Source organism: Homo sapiens, chromosome 1, assembly GCF_000001405.40.
Source record: "Homo sapiens chromosome 1, GRCh38.p14 Primary Assembly".
Lineage (NCBI taxonomy): Eukaryota > Metazoa > Chordata > Mammalia > Primates > Hominidae > Homo > Homo sapiens.
Window position 1 is genome coordinate 57,945,718 of NC_000001.11, and position 20,902 is coordinate 57,966,619.

General features: G+C 41.1%; 1 protein-coding gene and 1 long non-coding RNA gene across 5 annotated transcripts in view; one reads left to right on the plus strand and one right to left on the minus strand.

The window, feature by feature from the left end:
• DAB1 (DAB adaptor protein 1) overlaps positions 1-20,902 on the minus strand; it is a 1,551,949-nt gene that overhangs the window by 950,940 nt on the left and 580,107 nt on the right. The gene's annotated exons all lie outside the window — the stretch shown is intronic.
• The window catches only part of LOC105378746 (uncharacterized), a 33,633-nt gene continuing 23,637 nt past the window's right edge, over positions 10,907-20,902 (plus strand). The window contains exons 1-3 of the long non-coding RNA XR_007066127.1: positions 10,907-11,001; positions 14,236-14,387; positions 20,529-20,757. This is a non-coding gene — a long non-coding RNA (uncharacterized LOC105378746). The remainder of the gene's footprint in view (positions 11,002-14,235; positions 14,388-20,528; positions 20,758-20,902) is intronic.

Sequence of the window (20,902 nt, forward strand, 5' to 3'; positions counted from 1 at the left end):
ATACCTGCATATATACAAACTTCTGTGTTCCATTTTAAGGGGGTTTTGGAATTTCCAAAGCCTACCTGTCAATCCCAGAATAGAAACTTATTCTGAACCATGATTTCCTTAAAGTTAGGGACCTTAATTTAGTCATCATGACTTTACTTGAAGGCCCAGCACATGGTTGACACTCAATAACTAACGAAAAGACAAATGTTAAATCAGTAAAACCTGGTTGGTGAGTACCACATGCTGCCATGTACTGGATTACATTCTATCATGTATATCTAATCCACACAACAGGTCTGTAAACCACAGGCTGCTACTCCATTTCACAGGTGAAGAAACTGAGTCCCAGAGACAGCAAAGCCAGCAAGTGACAGATACAGAACTGGGACACAGATCACTAGGGTTTTACCAAACCATGCTGCTTCCCAAACCAGCCTCCACTGTTTTCCACCTCCCAGCATGGAGATTCCTTGAGGCATTCAGTATTCAAAGAAGTCACAGATGCCTTTATCAGAACAGAACTGTGTTTCCCCTTGAGTCTGCAGGGCAAGATGCACTCAGAGTGGGGCAGACAACTAACTATACGTGGAGCCCTCTCTCTCCTTAGCAAAGAGCTAAAGTATTAACATGTTGAATCTAATAGCAAGTCATGGTGCCCAAACCCCTGACTGCTTGTTATTCCACAAATTCTCATGGCCACAAATTGCACAAAAATATAAATTGTGCTGCCATTTATATTTTATTTGCCTCCAAATCCACTTTCTCCACCTTCTCTAATAGGATCTGTGTGTTAGGGAGTTGACATAGGGTTGCATCAACAGGCTCTTTGCTTTGGGCATTCTGTTGGATTCAAATAATGGAAGCCACCAGCAAGAGATAGAGGAGTAGAAAGAGGGGATGCGGTCTGATATATATATTCCCTGGTCTCTACAAAGGTTCACTGCAGTTCCTGCAAGGCAGCCCTCTCCACAAAGCCACCTGTCTCAGGATTCTGGTAACGGCCCCTCTTCTTACCCTTTCAGACCTAGGAGGTCTAGCTCAGGAGTCCTGTATTATCTCTTTTTGGTTATTCTAAGTCATGCTCATGCCTTTATAAAAATCCCTTTAATACACTTTCCTCAAGTTTCTCAGTTGGAATGTGCCATATGCTTCCTGCAGGGACCCCATATGATACACATGCCTAGCCGTGTTCAGCATTTACATGCAGAGAAAACAAAACAAGAAGTTCTAAAATATTAGAGCTGGAAAAGATCTTAGAGTCCATTTTTCAAGCCCTTTATTCTATTAATAGTCATAGTCTTAGTATCATGGCAATGCTGATTACTGAGCACCTTCCATGTGTCAAGTGCTATGGGTCTTGATTTACATAGGTGATCTCAATTCCTCCTAGTTTTCCAAAGTAGACACCATTACCCCTGTCAAAATATGAGGAAACGAGGGCATAAAAAGTAACTTGCCCAGGACCTCACAGGTAGAGCAGGGACTGGAGTCAAAATTTGAGCCCAGTGTCATCTGACTCCAAAGCATGTGATCTTCATACTAGAATTCTCAGAGATGACAGCCCTGAGACCCAAAGACAGTCCAGTGCCCAAAATCCCCAAGGTAAATTGCCACAGAACCAAGACCAGAAATGAGTTCTCCTGACCACCACCCAGCAACCTCTGCACTTCAGTCCGTGTACTTCAGGGTGTCTCAACCTTAGCGCTATTGACATTTTTAACCAGAGCACACCTTGTTGCACGGGCTGTGAGTTATACAACACTTAGCAGCATCCCTAGGTCTACCCACTAAATACCCAACAGCACTTCCCTCAGAAGTCATGACAACCAAAAGTATTCTAGACCTTGCCAAACGTCCCGTGGAAAGAAAACTCTCTCCCACATGACAAACACTGGTATAGTCCAGTTTCCTAAGTATTTATCTGACTCACGTTCGATGCACCAGGTATAACAGGAAATGCAAAGATCATGAACTAAGGCCCTCAGTGTGCCTCAGAAGAGGGAGAAATTGACGCCTATGGAGAATGGTGGAAGGAATTTGCAAAGTGGAATTTCTGGAGTGGGCAGCTTATTATTTACCTTTAAAGAATGTGTAAGGCTGACATACAGAAGGCCTGAAAGAAAGTTCAGATCGTCAGTATGTCCTGAACAGGGGCAGAGATCACAATCCCAAACTAAAATAAACCGTGGTCTCCTTCTGAAATGTTCAAATTCTCTTGCAGAGCATGCAAGGCCTTCTGTAGCCTCCTCTCCAGCTTCTGTGCATTACACTTTGGGCTCAAGAAACAGTATGGTACTTCTTACCTCCATGCCTGTGCTTATGCTAGCCCCTTGACCTGGGGTCCCTCTCTGCTCTACAACTTCTGCCTCTCACCTGCTTCACTAACCTTCCTTGGAGACTGAGCTCAGGTATATCTCTGGAAACTACATAACTACCTGCATAACTACTTCTTCAGTAGTAGACTGAATTTAGCTTGTGAAAACAATAATGTGTTTGTTAAGTAAAAAGAAGACACATCGTGTAACTGAACACACAATCACCAATGCAATAAAAGGCCCAAAGAAAGGACTGGAAAAAATAAGTCTAAATGTTAACATTGGTTTTCTCAGCTTAGCAAGGTTGCTGATGACTTTTATTTTTGTCTTTATGATTTTCCAAACTTTAAAAAATGTCTATAGTATCTGTGTGTTGCTTGTGTAATCATAAAAATGCAAGAATTGGAAATGGCTCTTGTGGGCATTTGCTGTTTTTACCGTTGACATCTATTTATTTGTGTAGCATCAATATCCTGATTTGGCTCTGAAGTAGCCAGCCCTCCCCCTCACTCTCAACCAATGCGTTTTGAGTCTAGTCGATTCTAGCCCAGGCCACAGGAGTCCAGCATAAGACCTAGACTATGTCAGTTAATGTACATCTTGGCCAAAGGCATTGATTCAGGTCCCCAGGCCCAGGCCAATCAGGGCTGATGAGATTCAGTTCTGAATCTTCCTCTTGAGCTACTGGGGAAGGATATGTTCTCTCTTGTACTTGACTGGGTATTAGAACAATGTAAATCTGAAGTTACCGGGGAAGCCACCACTATTCAGATTGAAGAATCTGAACCTAGAGGAAGCCAAGCCAAGAAATAGAGCCTTGGGTCTTTGTTTAGATCTTGAATCAAGCCAGGCCTAAAGCCTCATTTACCTCTTTGGATACTATTTTTCCTTCATTATCTGTTTGAATGTAATTTATGTAATATTTAATGCCTACAAAGGATAAATATTAATAATAACAATGTTATGAACATCCATGCACTCACCAGCAATCTACCATTGTACCAACTACATGCTCCTCCTTTAACCTGTGTCCTTGCCTTCTTCTCCAGCAGCAATCACCATTCTTAGTGTTACGTTAAGCCAGCGGTCCCCAACCTTTTTGGCACCAGGGACAGATTTTATGCAAGACAATATTTCCATGGGGGGGGCTGGGGGGATGGTTTGGGGATGAAATTGTTCCACCTCAGATCATCAGGCATTAGTTTGATTCTCACAAGGAGTGCACAGCCTAGATCCCTTGCATGTGCAGTTCACAATAGGGTTTGTGCTCCTATAAGAATCTAATACCCTGCTCATCTGACAGGAGGTGGAGTTCAGGCAGCGAGGCTTGCTCATCAGGCTCTCACCTCCTGCTGGGCAGCCCAGTTTATAACAGGCCATAGACCAGTACTGGTCCGTGGCCTGGGGATTGGAGATGCCTGTGTTAAGCAATTCTTTATCTATCTATCTATCTATCTATCTATCTATCTATCTATCTATCTATCTATATCTGTCTGTCTGTCTGTCTGTCTATCTATCATCTATCTACACACACACACACACAATATATATATATAATGCACATATTTCTAAAGAATACATTACTTAGATTTTCTTGTTTTTATACTTTATGAAAATGGAATCCTACTGTATGTGGTCTTCTGAGATTTTCTCTTCTCACCCAACATTATTTTTCCAAGATTCACCTACATTTTTGCAGGTAGCCATAATTCATTTATTTTCAACAGTCTAATAATTTTCATCTCTCTTTATAAAAACTTTAATAGGAGCTGCAAAAGTTCCAGTATCCTCCAAGAGGAAAGAAAAAATAAACTAGTGTTTGAGAACTGCTTGCTAACTTTCAGGCACTGGGGTTGTCCCTTTTAAAGTGAACTGTCCCTTAAATCCTCAGAAAAGTCCTAGGAATTGTGTATAGATATCTCCATTTCACAGATGAGGTTACAGACTATCATGTTGTCCCAAGGTTGTTGAGCTAGTTGGGTACTCAGATAAAATGTCACTCTGCTCTGTTAAACCTCTTCCTTGCAAGACGGCTTATTGCATGCCCTTCAAGGATAATCTTAGCCTAATATTTCAATAAGGAAAGCAAATTAAAGCATCCCCATTCAGTGCTTAAGAGAGAAGGCTCTGGGACCAGACTGGCCTCAGATGCTGGTTCTGCAAATTTTTAGCTGGGTTTAATACCTAAGTTTCTTCAGCTGTAAAATATTGATAATAATAATATCTACCTCCTTGAAGGGTTAAGAGGATGAAGTAAGTTACCATATCAAAGAACATAAAACAGTACCTGGCACATAGCAAATCCTTAATAAATGTTAGCAATTTTTCTATATTCACCCACTAGCTTCCCTTCCCAGACCATCACACACCTTATATTTCATCATTTCTCATCTTTGATCACTAGCACTGCTTTCTAACAGGCGTTCCTCATTTCTCCATGTCCTCCTAACATTGTCCACAGGGGATACTTCTAAAACATAAATGGGATCACTTCATTCTCCTGTTTAAAATCCTTTATTCCTCTCTATCACCCATCAAATAGAGTCTTGAAATTGACATGATAAATTCATACTGCAAAGTTCTGGATCTGCTTATGGTTCCCAAAACATATACTGTGTTTCATGCCTCCTTGTCTTTGCATATTCTATTCCCTCTGCCTGGAATACCCTCTCTGTCATCTGATTATCTCCTATGTTTCAAAACCCAGCTCAGACATTATGTCTCCTCTTCAATTCAGAATCAAATCCTCTCTTTTAAATCAATAGCACCTTAAGTACACTTCACCTGTTAGAAAAACCTGATGGCACTACTGTTATTTGTTTCTCCTGTTTTGTTCTGCCCTGTGGACTGATATCCCTGAGGACAAGTCCTTTGTTTTCTTCACTTACAGTCTTCAATATCTAGTTTGGAAACAGGCACCTTGTGGTACTCAAGAATATTTGCTATACTGAATGCAGAATAAGTTCTCAGCTATGCCAGGCTAAGGAACTAACAAATTGGGAGGCTTGGAAGTACGCTACTCTGATCAGGAGAGTGAATGCAGTTCCCCTGCAGACTAGTGAGCTGCCATGTTAACACATAATTTATTAGACCCTGGCACAAGTTTATTTTTATAGGCAGAGCATCTATTTTAATGGTTACATATATAACCACAGTTTTCAATCTGCTCCTTTCCCCCAAGAGAAAATCATGGAAGAGATCAAGGAAGGAAAGGAAGGATAGACATTGGGGGGTGAGGGGGGTAGTCTTTTGTATGACTTTCTTAAAACAGATCCGGGAAGAGGAGCCTGATTCATATATATATATATACTTCCCTGGAAACTTAAATTAGCCCAATGGATAATATGGCTAGATATTCTTTTTCCTTGCCTGTCTTATTCAAATTGCCAGTTTGACCAATGTAGAAACACTGACTTATCCAGTTGTTTCAGTTCTGTGAAGCTTCCCTATTGCAAAGCTCTTTACAGAAAAGTTTCAATGTGTTGAAATAAGCGATAAACCTTGGAGCCAGTTTCATGTTTAAATTCAGAATATGGCACTTCCTAGCAGCAGAGCTTTGGGAAAGTGACGTCACAGAGTATTAGTTTCCTCCTCTGGCAAATGGACAACAGTACCTAATTTCTAGAGCAATTACAATGATAGATTGAGGTAACGCTCATAACTGTTAGTACAGCACCTGGTGCTTAGTAGATGCCCAGTGAATGTAAGCTCATGGTATCATTCCCTCCCTTTGCTGGACCGTGGACAATGGCAAAGGTGGTGGGGAGCATTTGAACCAACTCCCCATATATTCCTTGGGTATATACTACAGGTGTAACATTAAACCCAGTCCTCTTAGAATACGGAGACCCATCTTAAGGATGATTCTTTAGGAAAACTTAAAAGAGTGAGCAGATTTAAACTGGTATTTGAAAGATGATGAGCTTTGGTTTCAGAGGGCAAAAGGAAGTCATTCCGCTTATACAGTGCATCCTGGGTGGACTCACTGGTTCTCAATATCCATTCATTCTTTCTTCCTTTTACTAATGCACCTCCTACTACATCCCTGTCCCTCAGTTTAGCTCAGATGTGGCTACCTGCTACTTCTATGACCTTTTTTTTTTCTTTGCCTCCAGGAACGACCACATGAATAAGTTCTGAACAATAGGATGTGACAAGAAGCACTGTTGTGGATCACTTCTCAAAATGAATTTACTTGTTCTGTGTGTCTTCTTCCCCTCTCTTGAGGATTGGCATGGGAGTATGATGGGGAAGAGTCATCTTTGCTCATAAAGACAATGGGGGATGATGAAGCAATAGAAAGAAGAAACTGGGTTCCTGGTGACTTTGTTGAGCACAGCCACCCTTCCCATCCAGACAGCCCAACAGCTCCACTCCTCCTTCCAGTTAAGCCACTGCTGTTTGATCTCCATTATTACAACTAAACCAGTATCTTCACTAATCATATCCTGAGGATGTAGGTGCAGGTGAAAATGAGCCTAACACATGTGGGGACAGAAAAGGAATGGGTCTGAGTGGAAAAAAGGGAGGGTATTTGAGAGTAATAGGTAAAGGCAAACAGAGCACAGACTTACTTCTAGATTCTTGATGGGAGGAAGGCTAGGGATTCTGAGAAGAGAGCAAAGCAAATAAAGCCTTCCTACCCACATGCCACCAAAAAAGCATGGAATAAAATGAAAGATAATCCATGGAAAAAAGCCAAGAAGACACATTCCTCTCATTCCAATTCAACTCAGCATCAGCTCAACTCATAGGAGGAGGGCTCTAAGAACAAGGTCCAACACCATCCTCACTAAGGGGTGGTTCTGTTTCTGTTAATTGACCAGCTGCACAGATGGGAAGTGAGGATGAACTGAGGCATCCCAGTCCATTCTGAATAGCCCTTTGCAAGCTCTGACTTGCACCGATCATAATCACTTTTCCCTATTGTTCTATTTCCACCTTCTAAGGCCACAAAGAGCAAGTAGAATCCTTGCATAACTCTTGCTTCAAATGACAGTCACTCCCATGTGTGATGGTGGCTCCCATGGAGTCTCATCTTATAGAGGCAAACAACTCTTTCATTAAGTCCTCATATTTATACATTTCTATTTTTGTCTTTGCAGACAGAATTCCCACCAAGGCTGTGCAGCCATGGGCAAACAAGTTTCCTTGCCATCCCAGCTTCTTTATCTGAAAAATGAAGAAGCTTGACTTTTCTATTTACAAGTCCTCGTGTCAAATACTTCTGGGAGGCAAGAATGTATACGGGGTGTTGGACAATAGGGAATGATGATAATCGTGGTGAACTGGAAACTACATACTTGACCTAAGGACATTAATGTTAAATTTTGAGTTTTGTTTATTGCCTGCTAGTGTTTGCTTTTTGGTATTAAAGCTACATTAGCCATGTAAGCCACACCTGAATGCTAGATATAGGCAAGTTTATAAATTCTGGTCTGAATGATCTTAAGGACTTCTCTAGCCCTAAAATTCCATTATTCTTTTAAGGTGTCCCATTTTACAGAGTGGACTCCAACTAGGCCTATCTTTTGTGCCAAAGGGAGCAGATACACCCTTGTGCTGGACATCCTCCGTTTGCCCTTCCAGATTGCTTTTCCATTCTTCTCCACCTTGCTCTGTGCCCTGGAATCTAATTGTTAAGGACGCCATCAAGCTGAGCTCATTGAATTCTGAGTTCTAGTTGGAACTGGCCAATGAGAGTGCTAGCATGAAACAGGCAGGTGAGAGGAGAGAAAGGTTAGCCCCTCCCTATTTATCTGCTGGTTGGCAGTGGCTGGGTTCCTGTAATAAGGCCACATCCGCTGTCTGCTGGCCTTACCCTATGGCTACATGTCTCAATGGTTCAGATAACCATCCCTTCCTTTCCCTTTCAGGCCAAGGGACATAACTGGCTGCCCACTGGTAGGAACATTGGATATTTCACCACCAACTCCCTTTTTGGTTTTTATTAACCCTTCCCATACCTCCACAAATAGTCCTTTCTCTAAAGCCCCCTTAGAACCCCCTTCTGAGTGTACCATCTGTTCCTTGCCAGGACCCTGACTAATTCACTATCAATCCTCTTCTCTATGTGCTTCCAGTGGGGATGAGGGGTGTCCATCCTAAAAGTTCGGATGTATTGGCCATAAAAACAGGTTATAGGATGTAGTGTTTATTACATCCCTTTAGTGGCCATCTATTTTTCGGTCTTTTCAGCACTTTCCCTTCCAGAAATAGTTAAGAAACACTCTCTTCCATGATCCAAAGCATACAGAAGCACCAATCATAGGTGCCATGGTCTGGCATAGAATGGGCATGTGACCCAAGCCAAGTCATTAAATGAGCATGCGATATAAGCCAGGACAAGTTCACTCAGGAATTTTTAAAATGGAACTAAGAGAAGGTGGCCCACTCCTTTTGGGTGATGATGCCTAGGAAGTGGTAGGTCCAGGAGTTACAATGATCATGCTTCAGCCTCAAGAAGAAAGCGAGGCTACGATGGTAACCCAGTGAAACAGAACCATAGGAAAAAGTAGAGACTACACATAGAGCAAGGTTGATTTGAGTCTGAATACCCAGTACCTGTCCTCCTGTAAGCCCAGCCATCCAGCAACTTACCTGCAGCATGCCTTTGGTTGACTTTTGCTTAAATTCCTTTGAATATAGTTTTTCTATTGACTAATACATCCCTAGTGGAGATGGAGTTCAGGATTAGTCTGACTCCAACTGACCAGGTATGCAGTCTGTTAGAGAAGAGTTTAGCTCTGTATGATAAAATAGCTGCTGGATCCTCACTTTTGTGTAGTGCTCTGTGGTTTATAGAGTGCCTTCACACCCATTACCTCATTTTATCCTTATAACAGTTCTAGGTGACAAATGGGGCAAGGTGTGTTATCCCCTATTAGCTGCCATGAGTCCTAGGGCTCAGAGAGGCAAAAGACTTAAAGATAAAGCCACTTTCAGCTTTGGTCTTAAACTTGGTGAGACCATGCCAAGCCTTCTCCTAAAGAGGCATAGCGGCCCTGTTTGTACAATGTGTTCCTGAATGGATCTTGGCTTATATCCACACCTCTTTTTGCCACTGTCTTCTCTGTGTCTGAAAATATTCTTCATTCTCTCTACTTTGAAATATACAGTCTGTTCTATTTTTACCTCCATCTTGAACTCTGGCACTCAATGTTTTTGCTTTTAGCCTCTCTGATGTGCCATGAACCTTGAGGCTCATGGCAGGTCTCCTCCCTCCTGATTAAACCTCTCTTTCTTCACCTCAACCATCTCATAAACTTCCTGTGAAAAGTCTTAGTGGCATTGCTTAATATGACCTTGACTCCAGCCCCAGAAGGACACGTAGCTGAGGGAAATCTAGCATCCCAGTTAATCTGACTTAGTCCCTTGTCCTTTCTACTGTCAGTCAAGCCCACATGCAAGAGCAGAGAAAGACCCTTATATTCAGAAAACAGTACATTTAGATTTTCCCTAATAGTAGTGTCTTGAGTGTCTTGTCGATGACTCTGAGGATGGAATGTCATTTTCTGTTTCACTTTCAGTCACGATGCACAAGCTTACAAAGAAAAGTGTAGAAGTTGGAATAATACGATATGCTTTTTACAAATAAGACAAAAGACTGAAATAGAGGATACAGCCCAAATTAGCACAAGAGGATACAGCCCAAATTAGCACAAGAGCAACTCCCACTGATGAGAAAATTATCTGACTGCAAATTACACACTGCTACTCCATGAGCTCCATTGAGGTTTAAGGTATTGGATTAACCAAAATGAAGCAGAAGAAAAAAAAAATGAGCTAGAAAAACAAATGCACCAAGGTGAAAAGGAAAAACACAAATTAATATTTGCTAATTATATGGTATATACTGGTCTATATCAGTCATATTATTCCCATTTTAAAATGCACAAGGTTTGGTGGGTAGTAAAATGCCAAGAAGATAAGGCAGTTGGTCATTGTCTAATCTAGGATTACAGGATGGGTCAGTTTGGCTTCAGAAACTCACCTTCCTAGTGAGAGATAGACTTTCTCTTGCTCAGTTGAGCAGTATTGATCAGGAAAAGAATCTGTTGTGTCAGAGGAAGGCAATATGTCAGATCTGATTACCACAGATAAAATGTACTAAGTCAGGGGAACATTTATAGATCATCAGATATATCTGTCAGGGTCCCAGCAAGAAACTGGCAGCACACTCAAGAGAGAAGAGCTCAAGGAGAGACTAATTATAAAGGTGTAAGCAAGGGAAGGGAATCCTAGGGGATGAAGCAGTAACCCAGAGCTGATAATAGTGGAGGTTACCACCCCAGGCTAGAGGGTAAGAGGTAGGAGAGAACTCTATATGAGAGGGATTCCTGTAGAGCAGCCCCCTTGAAGGGGATTAGTGACATCTGAGACAGCCAAACCAAGGTGAGCCCACTGGGAGGAATTCAGGGAAAAAAATAGCCTGATCTCACTCTTATTTCTTACTTTATCCAGAGGCTTTAAAGGTACAGAAGGCCACTTATGTATTTCATACAGGTCAGCCTCCTGGGGCAGGCACAGAAGGGTGGAGGGAAGACCTCATTAAATAAAGACATCCAGCACACCAAAACAGGCAGAAAGCAGACATGATAACGAGATTGCCACCTATTTACCTTCTTGTAACCATAAGAATGAGGGAAGCTTCATTCCGACGGAGTTCGACCAAAATAGAGAAGAAGTTGTAAGGGTACGTGTAACCACTCTAGATTGGATACTCCTGCAGCTAATGATATGATAATGAGAAAAATCATATGCAACTGAAGTGGATATTTCAATAAAGAGTTGAGCAACATGTGGTCTAGTTAGGACCATCTTGGAAAGACTTTGGGAGGTATTGGTGGAGTAGATGTGGAGAAGAGTTAGCTTATTCAGAGAATTATACTGAAATTACTCCCTCAGAAAAACCTTGGATCTACCAGAGCTTGTTTCTTTGCAAACTTGCTCATAGGCCATGTAAATAAAACTGAATGTCATCTGGTGAATGATGAAATGAAGGAAATAGAATCAGAGAGGTGGTGAGATATTAAATCACATAGGTCTGTTGGAAAATTTTGAAAGGAGGAGCATGTGATTTGACTTACATTTTAATAGGCTTGTTCAGGAAAATGTGTGAAGAGATTGTACAGGGACATGACTGGATGTCGAGGACCAGGTAAGAAGCTAATGCAATAATTTAGGCAAAAAGGATGATGGTAACAGTGGAGGTGGTGAGAAGTGGCCACATCCTCAGTATTTTTGTAAGTAATACTATGGAATCAGCTGAATAAGTGGATATCAGGTGTGAGAAAAGGAGTGAAAAGAAGCCCAAAGGTTTCAGCCTAAGCAATGGAAGGATAAAGTTGACATTTGTTAAGGCAGGGAAGACTGTAAGTGAAGCTGTATTTTATCTGGGGTGAAGGGAGAAATCAGGAGTTTGGTTTTGAACATATTGGCTTTGAGATATATATTAGACATTCAAATGGAAATATTAAAAAGGTTATTGGATATATACAGGTCTAGAATTCAGTGTAGAAGTGTATGCAGGAGACACCAATCTGGATATTAGCACATAAACAGTATTTAAAACTACAAGACTGTATGGGGTTACCAAAAAAGTGAGAAAAGCAGAATCCTGGACCACACCGCAGTTCAGAGTTTGGAAAAATGAGGAAGAGCCAGTAAAGGAAAACTGAGGATTGGTCAACGAGGTAGAAAGAAAAACCTCTGATGGAATTGCAACATGGGCAGAAACCAGAGGTAGGAAGGCAGGTGAGTCACTGGTTTCCAAGTACAAATAAGAATTAGCACCTTGGAGTTTCATACCTGACAATACATGAAACAAGACTTCAAAAGAATTTTTGTGAAAACTTGTTTATAATTATAAGTCTTTGATTGTGGGAAGAAGTTGAATACAAAGTATGAAACTCTTTGTTCTGACAGTGACTGTAAGTTGTTGAAATTCTTGTTCCAGGATGATGTGCTTTTTTTTTTTTAGGCGGAGTCTAACTTTGTTGCCCAGGCTGGAGTGCAGTAGCATGATCTCAGCTCACTTCAACCTCTGCCTCCCAGGCTCAAGTGATTCTCCTGCCTCAGCCTCCCAAGTAGCTGAGATTACAGGTGTCTGCCACCACGCTCTGCTAAATTTTTAGTAGAGACGGGGTTTCACCATGTTGGTCAGGCTGGTCTCGAACTCCTGACCTCAAGTGATCCACCTGCCTCGGCCTCCCAAAGTGCTGGGATTACAGGAATGAGCCACCGTACCCAGCCTGATGTGCTTTTTAAAAATCATTTTAATCTAGCTGTGATACACTGGGTAAGTTGGTAGAAAGATCTGCATTCATTCATTCATTTATTCAACAAGTATTGCTTTATGATATGCCAGACACTGATATAAATGCCAGGCACCACAGTGAATACAACCAAGAGAAATACCTGCCTCCAAGGAGCTTTCTTTTAGCAATCAATGTGCAGGAGTGGACAGAAAATGGGGTGCAAATCTCAGCCATCTCACCTACCTCTTGAGTAAGTCACCTAATCTCTTCCTCTTCCAGAGCCTCATCCAGAAAAGAGGATTCAGAATAGGCATTAGGTTGTGAAAGCTGCCATAAACAAAGTGCCACTAACTGGGTGGCTTAAACAACAGAAATGTATTGTTTCACAGTTCTGGGGGTAGAAGTCCACAATCAAGGTTTCAGCAGGGTGGATTCTTCTAAGGGCTATGAGAAAAGGATGTGATCCAGGCCTCCCTCCTTGGCTTGTAGATTTTTGTCCTCTTTCTATGTCTTCTCACATCATCTTCCTTCTATGCTTTTCTCTCTGTGTCCACATCCCTTTTTATAAGGATGCCAGTCTTATTAAATTAGAGACGATTCTAATGACTTCATTTTAATTTGCTTACCTCTGTCAAGCTCTGTCTCCAAATAAGATCACATTCTGAGGAAGCAGGGGTTAGGATTCTAATATATCTTCTTTTGGGAGGACACAAAGTCAACCCTAACAGAATGCCTGTTTGTATGCTAACTCTTTGGATGGCTGCAAGGCTCCTGGCAAGTAGCAGGCAGAAAGCCACTGTAGTCAAGTGATCAGCACTCAGAATCTAGACCAAGTGTCCACTCCAGAGCAGTCTTTGATACTGACTCTGCTTATTACTGACCTTGGTTGTATTCCTTAACCTTTCATTGAGCTTCCTCTTCAACTGAAATATGGGACAGGTGAGGTGGGGAATGGCACCTGCCTCATAGGGCCAGTGCAAGGGTCAAATATAGCAAAATATGGATCTTGCATAGTCTAAGTACTCTAACAAATGGTAGCTGTGTATGTATTTTTAAATTCTTGAAGAATGAATGTATGTGTAAAAAGAGATAAGGGAAGTAGAGGGCTTCACATAAAAAAGTATTCTACAAAAAGCAATAATCTCATTTATAAATTGTTTTAAGGTTTACAGGGCATTTTCACATCCTCGCAGTAACCCACTTTGATGGATACTATATTCCCATTTTATAGATGAGAACATTGAGGCTTGGAGAGGGATGTAAATTGGTAGCCAAAAGATTAGAGTGGTTGTGGTTCTCTTGGATATTCTAAAGGTGGTGCTTTCTTTTTCTTTTACTTTTTTAAATTATCTTGTAGCTCTTCTTAAGCTCACATACTGAGCATGCTGCAATATAAACAATCCTGATGAGAAGCTGTCCAAAGGAATTCACAGCATCTTTGCACTCCTTGCTGAATACTTAAAATCTTCAACACATTCAGGCTGGGATCGGTTTCCTAAATGCCTTTATGCTTTGGAAGCTGAGAGTTTGGCTCCTTGGGGACCTTTCTGCTTCCATTTAAACCCAAAGCAATGGACTTGAAAATCGAAATCCAAAAAGCTAACAAAGACCTTATTAATTGTGGCTTCTTTATAAACAGTTTTTTTCACTCTTCTTTCTCCTCTCTCTAGGCAACCCTTGCATAAAAATATCCACTCACCAACTGTTCACCAACTGTTCTTCCTCTTGCTGGCATACCTTATGCAGCATCCTCAGATGCCAGAGCGCGTTTCTGCTGCAGCCTCCACGATGCCTGGGCTGATAGCAATCAGGTCCTGCTATGGTGAGGAGTGTGGGAGAGGAGGGAGAGATGGTGTTGTCTGGCACGGGAAGCCCAGGCCGTGTGGCAATTAGGGCTCAGACTGGAAAGGCAGTGGCCACGTCATAGGCTTTGGAGTCAGAAAGCCCTAGGTTTGAGTCCCAGCTCAGCCATGTTCTTACTGTGTGTTATCATTCAAATTACTATGTTTCACTGTCTGAGCCCAAAATTTCTCTCCTGTAAAAGACAGATAATAACTGTTTCTAAGGACTGTCATGAAGATTTTTTAAAAATTCCTGTATGTGATGGACATGACATGGTGCTTGGTACATTATACAAACTCAATACAGGAAAATTTCCTTTATCTCTTTTTAACTCCCAAGAAGCTCATTAGTCCAGTAAGGAACCAAATTAAAAAAAAAAAAAAGGAAATCTATGTGAGTGTTAAATATTTAAAAAATAGTTGAATAAGGTAGTATAAATACATACGTTAATACTATTTTTATTCAGTAGTATAAAAGATGAAATAGGACAGTATCTGGTGACTTAGGAAATGGAAATGGCTGTAAGTGCTAGATTTCAGAGAAGGAAGAGATCTTCGGAGGCTGAAGAAGTCCTTTCTGCTCTTTTTAGGGAGTCTAGTTCTAGCCAAGCTCTGCCTCTCAGTATGTGGAGCAATTAATTCCTTCAATTCCTCCACAAACATTTGCAAGTGTTGTCTTTGGCCTAGGCCTAAGCCATGCAGGCATGAGGAGAACAGACCCCAGCCTCAACCCTTAGGAGCTTGCAGAGGAGCCAGAGAACCAGGCATGCAAACAGGTGTAACAGGTAAGAGGGACAGAATCATATGACTGTTTATGGAGCAGGCCTGGAGGAGCTGGACAGATTAGAGACCAAATTCCAGCTCAGCTACTTACTGGCACCATGGCTAGTAGCTTAACTTCTCTGAGTCTTCTTTTTTCATTTGAAAAATTGAGATAATAATAATGAGTTCTTCACCTTGTTGCAAAGATGAAGTGATATAATGCTTGTTAATGCAAAGCAAAGTCCTGGTATTTAGGAGTTCAATAATTGTTAACTGGTATAATTCAAGGTGAAAACCGTGTATACACTTATTTAGAGATTTTGAATTATAATAATATACGCATGTGTATACATTTGTATATAGGTAATATGTATGTGTCTACATATACATATAATAATATGTGTACATTTACAATATAGATTATATATGTATATGTGTATATCGTACTGTGGAAAGCTCTTAACCTCTAAACTTTTCAATTTCCTTCTTCTCAAAATTATCAGTTGGCTCAGAACTCCGCCTGTGATCTTGGACACATCAGGCTTTCCACAGTCTCACTCATCCACCCTCAGCATTATCTCTGACCAAATGAGTCCCCCACCTTCCTGTCATGCTCAACCATAGGAGTCCTGAGTATTCTCAAGAGTCACTTCCTAAAACCTTGCAAATCTCTGGATTTATGAGGGTTGAAATGACAGCAAGCACATCAAAAGTCCATAAAGAATTGTACTGGGACCCAAATTCTTTTTTCTAAAAAGTTAGTAGATGAGCAAGACATGTTCTTCACTTAAAGCTTAGTTCGGCTGGGTGTGGTGGCTCACGCCTGTAATCCCAGCACTGTGGGAGGCTGAGGCAGGCGGATCACCTGAGGTCAGGAGTTCAAGACCAGCCTGACCAACATGGAGAAACCCCATCTCTACTAAAAAATACAAAAAAAAAATTAGCCGGGCATGGTGGTGTCCTGTAATCCCAGCTACTCGGGAGGCTGAGGCAGGAGAATTGCTTGAACCTGGGAGGCGGAGGTTGCAGTGAGTTGAGATCACGCCATTGCACTCCAGCCTGGGCAACAAGAGTGAAACTCTGTCTCAAAAAAAAAAAAAGCTGAGTTCACAGAATGAGGGAGCCAACTGAACTTGGAGTTAAATTAAGAGAGTGGCGATCTAAAGTCTGGTTCAGCAACTTGAGAGTTAAGAGTAGTTTCAGAAGTCAAATGATCCCAATTCAAATCCTGGCTATGCCTCTGCTTGACTAGACTATCTTGAGCAAGTTACTTAACCTCACTAGGTCTCGACTTGCTCATCTTTAAGTGGGATCTTTATAGTGCCTACCTTAAAATTTTGCTGTGAATTCTGACTGTGATAGCACATGGAAGTTAAATATCACCGTATCTGCCTGGTATATAACTTCTCAATAAACATTAGTCATCATTATTATTATTATTACTCTTATTTTTCCATGGGCATAGTGTATTTGTACAGAGACATTTTCACCCACATCAATTTTGTCTAGCCATTTTCTCCAATAAGCTTCATCAACTAGGTACTGACATCCTCCTTCCTATGATCATCTCACCACTTAGAAAAAAACTTCTTACCTTCTGACATGATTTGATTCAACAGCCACACTAGTGCCTAGCTCATCACTGAAATGTTGGTTCAGGCTCCCCAAGAAAATGGAATAATACATTTACGAATCCCAGGAAGAGGCCAGGTGTGGTGGCTTGCACCTATAATCCTGGCACTTTGGGAGGTTGAGGTGGGAGAATCACTTGAGGCAAGGAGTTCAAGACCGGCCTGGATAACATAATCTCTACAATTTTTTTTTTTAATTTAGCCACACATGGTGGCATGTGCCTGTAGTTCCTGTAGTTCCTGCTACTTGGGAGGCTGAGGTGGGAGGATGACTTGAGCCTGAAAGGTTAAGGCTGCAGTGAGCTGCAATTATGTACCACTGCATTCCAGCCTGGCAACAGAGTGAGATCCTGTCTCAAAAAAAAAACAAAACAAAAAAAAATAAAAACCTCAAGAGCCACTTTTAAAATTTTTTACTTATTTTTCCCCCAATTTTATGCTATATTTTCTTACATGCCTTTATAATATAACATGCTTCATTCCCCCTCCTTTTGCCCACCTTTCCTCTTGCCCATTTTACCTGGGTTACTTCTTCCATGTCCTTCAAAATTAAGCTCACATATGACAGTATTCATTCATTCATTCAACCACAAATTAAAATATCAGATACTGTGCTAGGTGCTGGATATATAATGGTAAGCAAAACAAATGAGGTCCCTATTTTCCTGGGCTTAGAGTCTAGAAGCCAAACAGATATTGATGAAATTATCATACACATAACTCACTTTAGACCATGACTAATGCCATGAAGAAAAGGCTCAGGGTGCCATGCAAGCATATTAGCATATTACAGAGTGACCTGGTCACATATGAAGAGTTAGGGAAGGCACCTTGGAAAAAGTGACATTAGGCTGGGTTAGGTATCTTATCTGTAGTTTCACATGAACCTCTGCTTCTAGATCATTGCATTTACCAATCACGGTGCACCGTTATTCTCTCTCCATCTGTTTGTCTCTCTTGCTAATCTGTGAACGTCCTGAAAGCTGGTGAAGAATCTTATTCCCAGAACCTATTACAAGCCCGGCACTTAGTAGGAGCACAAGAATTGATCATTAAATGATTTCTTGTTGTTGAAATAAAGTTTAAGGACCCTTTGAGCTGATCATTTCTCTCAATCTAGCCCAGAATCAGTCCTGAAAATTCTAGACACCCTGCGTCACGCCCATGCTGCTGCCCACTTCCCCTTTCCCCAGTAATCATCCCCTGGGAAGAGGTGCTGTAACTCTACATCAGCCCCAGGGCAGCTCTCATCTGCTCTCCACCAAACTCATATCGCATTACATTTAATACATGTGTATAATGAATGCCGCACACATTTGGCAGTGCTTCTGTGCACCGTGTCATTATAAGCTGTATTGACAGCAAACAAGTCACATATTCTCCCTGCGAACACTACAGGAAGAAAGAACATATAATTTTGTTGTTGTTTGTATGTTTTTCTCCAAGTCACATTGGACACCATTTGCCTTTCATTAGAAACACCATGCTGACAGTAAAATCACATATCCCCAACACACAAAGAGGAGAAAAACAAGCTGTTTGGGCCCCCTGTGAAGGGGAGGAGCAAGGACATGGCCTCTGGGGAGGGGCTAGGGGTAACAGAACTGGGTGATTTCCAGGGCTTTAGTGGCTCTGATCCCCCTAGAGAGAGTTGATGCTCTCTTGCCCCGCAGGGTCTGTCTGTATCATCATGCCCTGCAGTTTTACTCCACTCAAACCTTGCCTCATGCATTCACTTATTCATTAATTTATTCACTCATTAATTCATCCAACAATGTATTGCTGTATATTCTTTCTGGAATTAAGTTAAGTGGGGAATGTAGAATACTGAAATACATTGAGCTCTTACTGTAGACACTTGCTACATATTTAATTTTCACAGAACCTTATGAGGTCAGTAACTATTGATTGCTTCACAGCTTTGATAACTGAGCATCAGAAAGCTAAAGTGACTTGCTCAAAATTACCAAGTACGTAAGATCAAGATTTGAACCTAGGCCTATTTCAGTACAGAGAGTAAATAAATGGATGAGTATTTACCGAGTGTCTATAATGTGAGGCACTACTCATGTTTCCAGCATAGATTTGACATTACAATTGTTTACACCCCTGCCTTCCCCACTAGACTGCAAGCTCATTCATTTATTCATTCAATGCTTATTCAATGGCTTTCCTGTACTGAACACTGTAAGTTATCCGATGGCAGAATTTACGTCTTAGTTATTTCTATAGTCCTAGGCTATAACATAGAGCCTGGGACACAGCAGAAATATAAAATCTATTGAAAACAAGAGAAGAAGGAAGGAAAGAGGGAGGCAGGAAGTTGTTCACTGTCTAGGGGAAGATAGGCATGTAAACAGTGAACTGGGATGGAATAAGGCAAATAAAGGTAGACATTATTTGCTGGGGGAATATTGAGAAATAGACAGTTCCTGGCAACTGCAGGAACTAAAAAAAGTGTTTCACCCAAGAAGACTCACTAAGGCTAGTTATAAAGACTGAGAATTCCAATGTATGAAGAATGGATGGAACATTCATGTGTGAAGAATGGATGGCAAAGAGATATGGTAGGGTATTGAAGGCCACACAATAGACAGCGTGAGTAGCTGGTAGGAATACAGAATCTATAGAGAGACAGAGTAGGAAACAGGCTAGAAAGACAAAGTCAGATCGTAGAGAGTGTCAGCTTTCTTTCTATTTTATTTGGTAGGGACTGGAGAGATTTATCTCATAGTTGTTTCTCTTCACATGAACTAATAAACTTTTCTTCAGAAAGGCAATAGGATTGGGTGAATTGAATAATCCAATTACCAAGAATATGGCATCAGGAGTCAAACAGTCCTGAGTTCAAGTTGTGCTTTGCCACCTCATAGGGGTATCACTTTGGGTGATCTAATTCTATTCTCTAACCTCTGGCCTCTTCGTAACAAAATCGAGTTGATAGGATCTGTGTCATAGGTGGTGAGGATACATTAAATAAATATGCAAAAATTCTTAAGAATTTTTGGTATGCAATAAGCTTTTGATAAAGGTTATTGATTATGATTTCCAATTGTATTGTTCTCAACCACATGAGCTCAGAATACATAAACTAGAAATACTTGTAGAGGAAGGAATATAGCATCCACAGTTTGGAAGCCCCTTCATCTCTCCATCCAACAACAATTTACTGACAGCCTACAAGCCATTTTCAGAAATGTTGTATTGACTGATAATGCACAAAGGAGAAATGCAGAGTCATGTCCTCAGGGAGCTCACAATCTTTAGGGGAGGTAGACAGGTAAATGGAGAGCAGCTGTGCAGCAGACTAAATGCAAATAAGAAATAGACCATTAAAGTGGAAGACTTCCATGTACTTGTTATGTGCATTGTGGCAAATTTCTCTATCTTTCTGAGATTCAGTGTCATCATCTTTAAATGGCGGGGGGGGAGAGGAAATCTGATAAATTCTTATACTAACTTGATGAGCTAATGTAAATTTTAAGAAAGAGTTAGCATCTTGCCTAGCTCACAAATGATCTTCAATAATTGTTTATTCAATGCACAAATGGATTAGTATTATAATAGCAGTGCATACAAAATGCAGCAGTGTTATATAAAGTAATGGGTTAGGGCAGAATCATATTGAAGAGCAAGGAAAGAACTGTACTACTTTTAATATCGGTCTGTCTTGATCAGATAGCTTAAGGAGGTTGCGATAAATTAAATATGGTTAAAAATTCTTGGCAGCTTCTTTCAGGAAGAGCTGACCCCTGGAATCTGGGCTAGACTTGCACTTGTTTTGGCCATTGGAATATCAAGCTGACTTTTTGTGGGCTCTGGAGACTAGGACCTAAAAGGAGGAATGTTGCCCCCTCATCATTATGTAAAGAAGCTGGCGCAACCTGCTGGAGGAGAATATGCCACCTGGGGAAGAACTGAGGCACCCAGCCAACATCCAGCACCCACCACTAGACATGTGAGTGAAACTATCGTTGGACTTTTCACCTCAGCTCACCTGCTAGCAGAATGTAGCTGCATGAATAAGCCCAGGGGAAACCAGCAGAGGGACCTCCCAGCTAACCCACAGAATCATGAGAAATAACACATTGTTATTTTAGTTA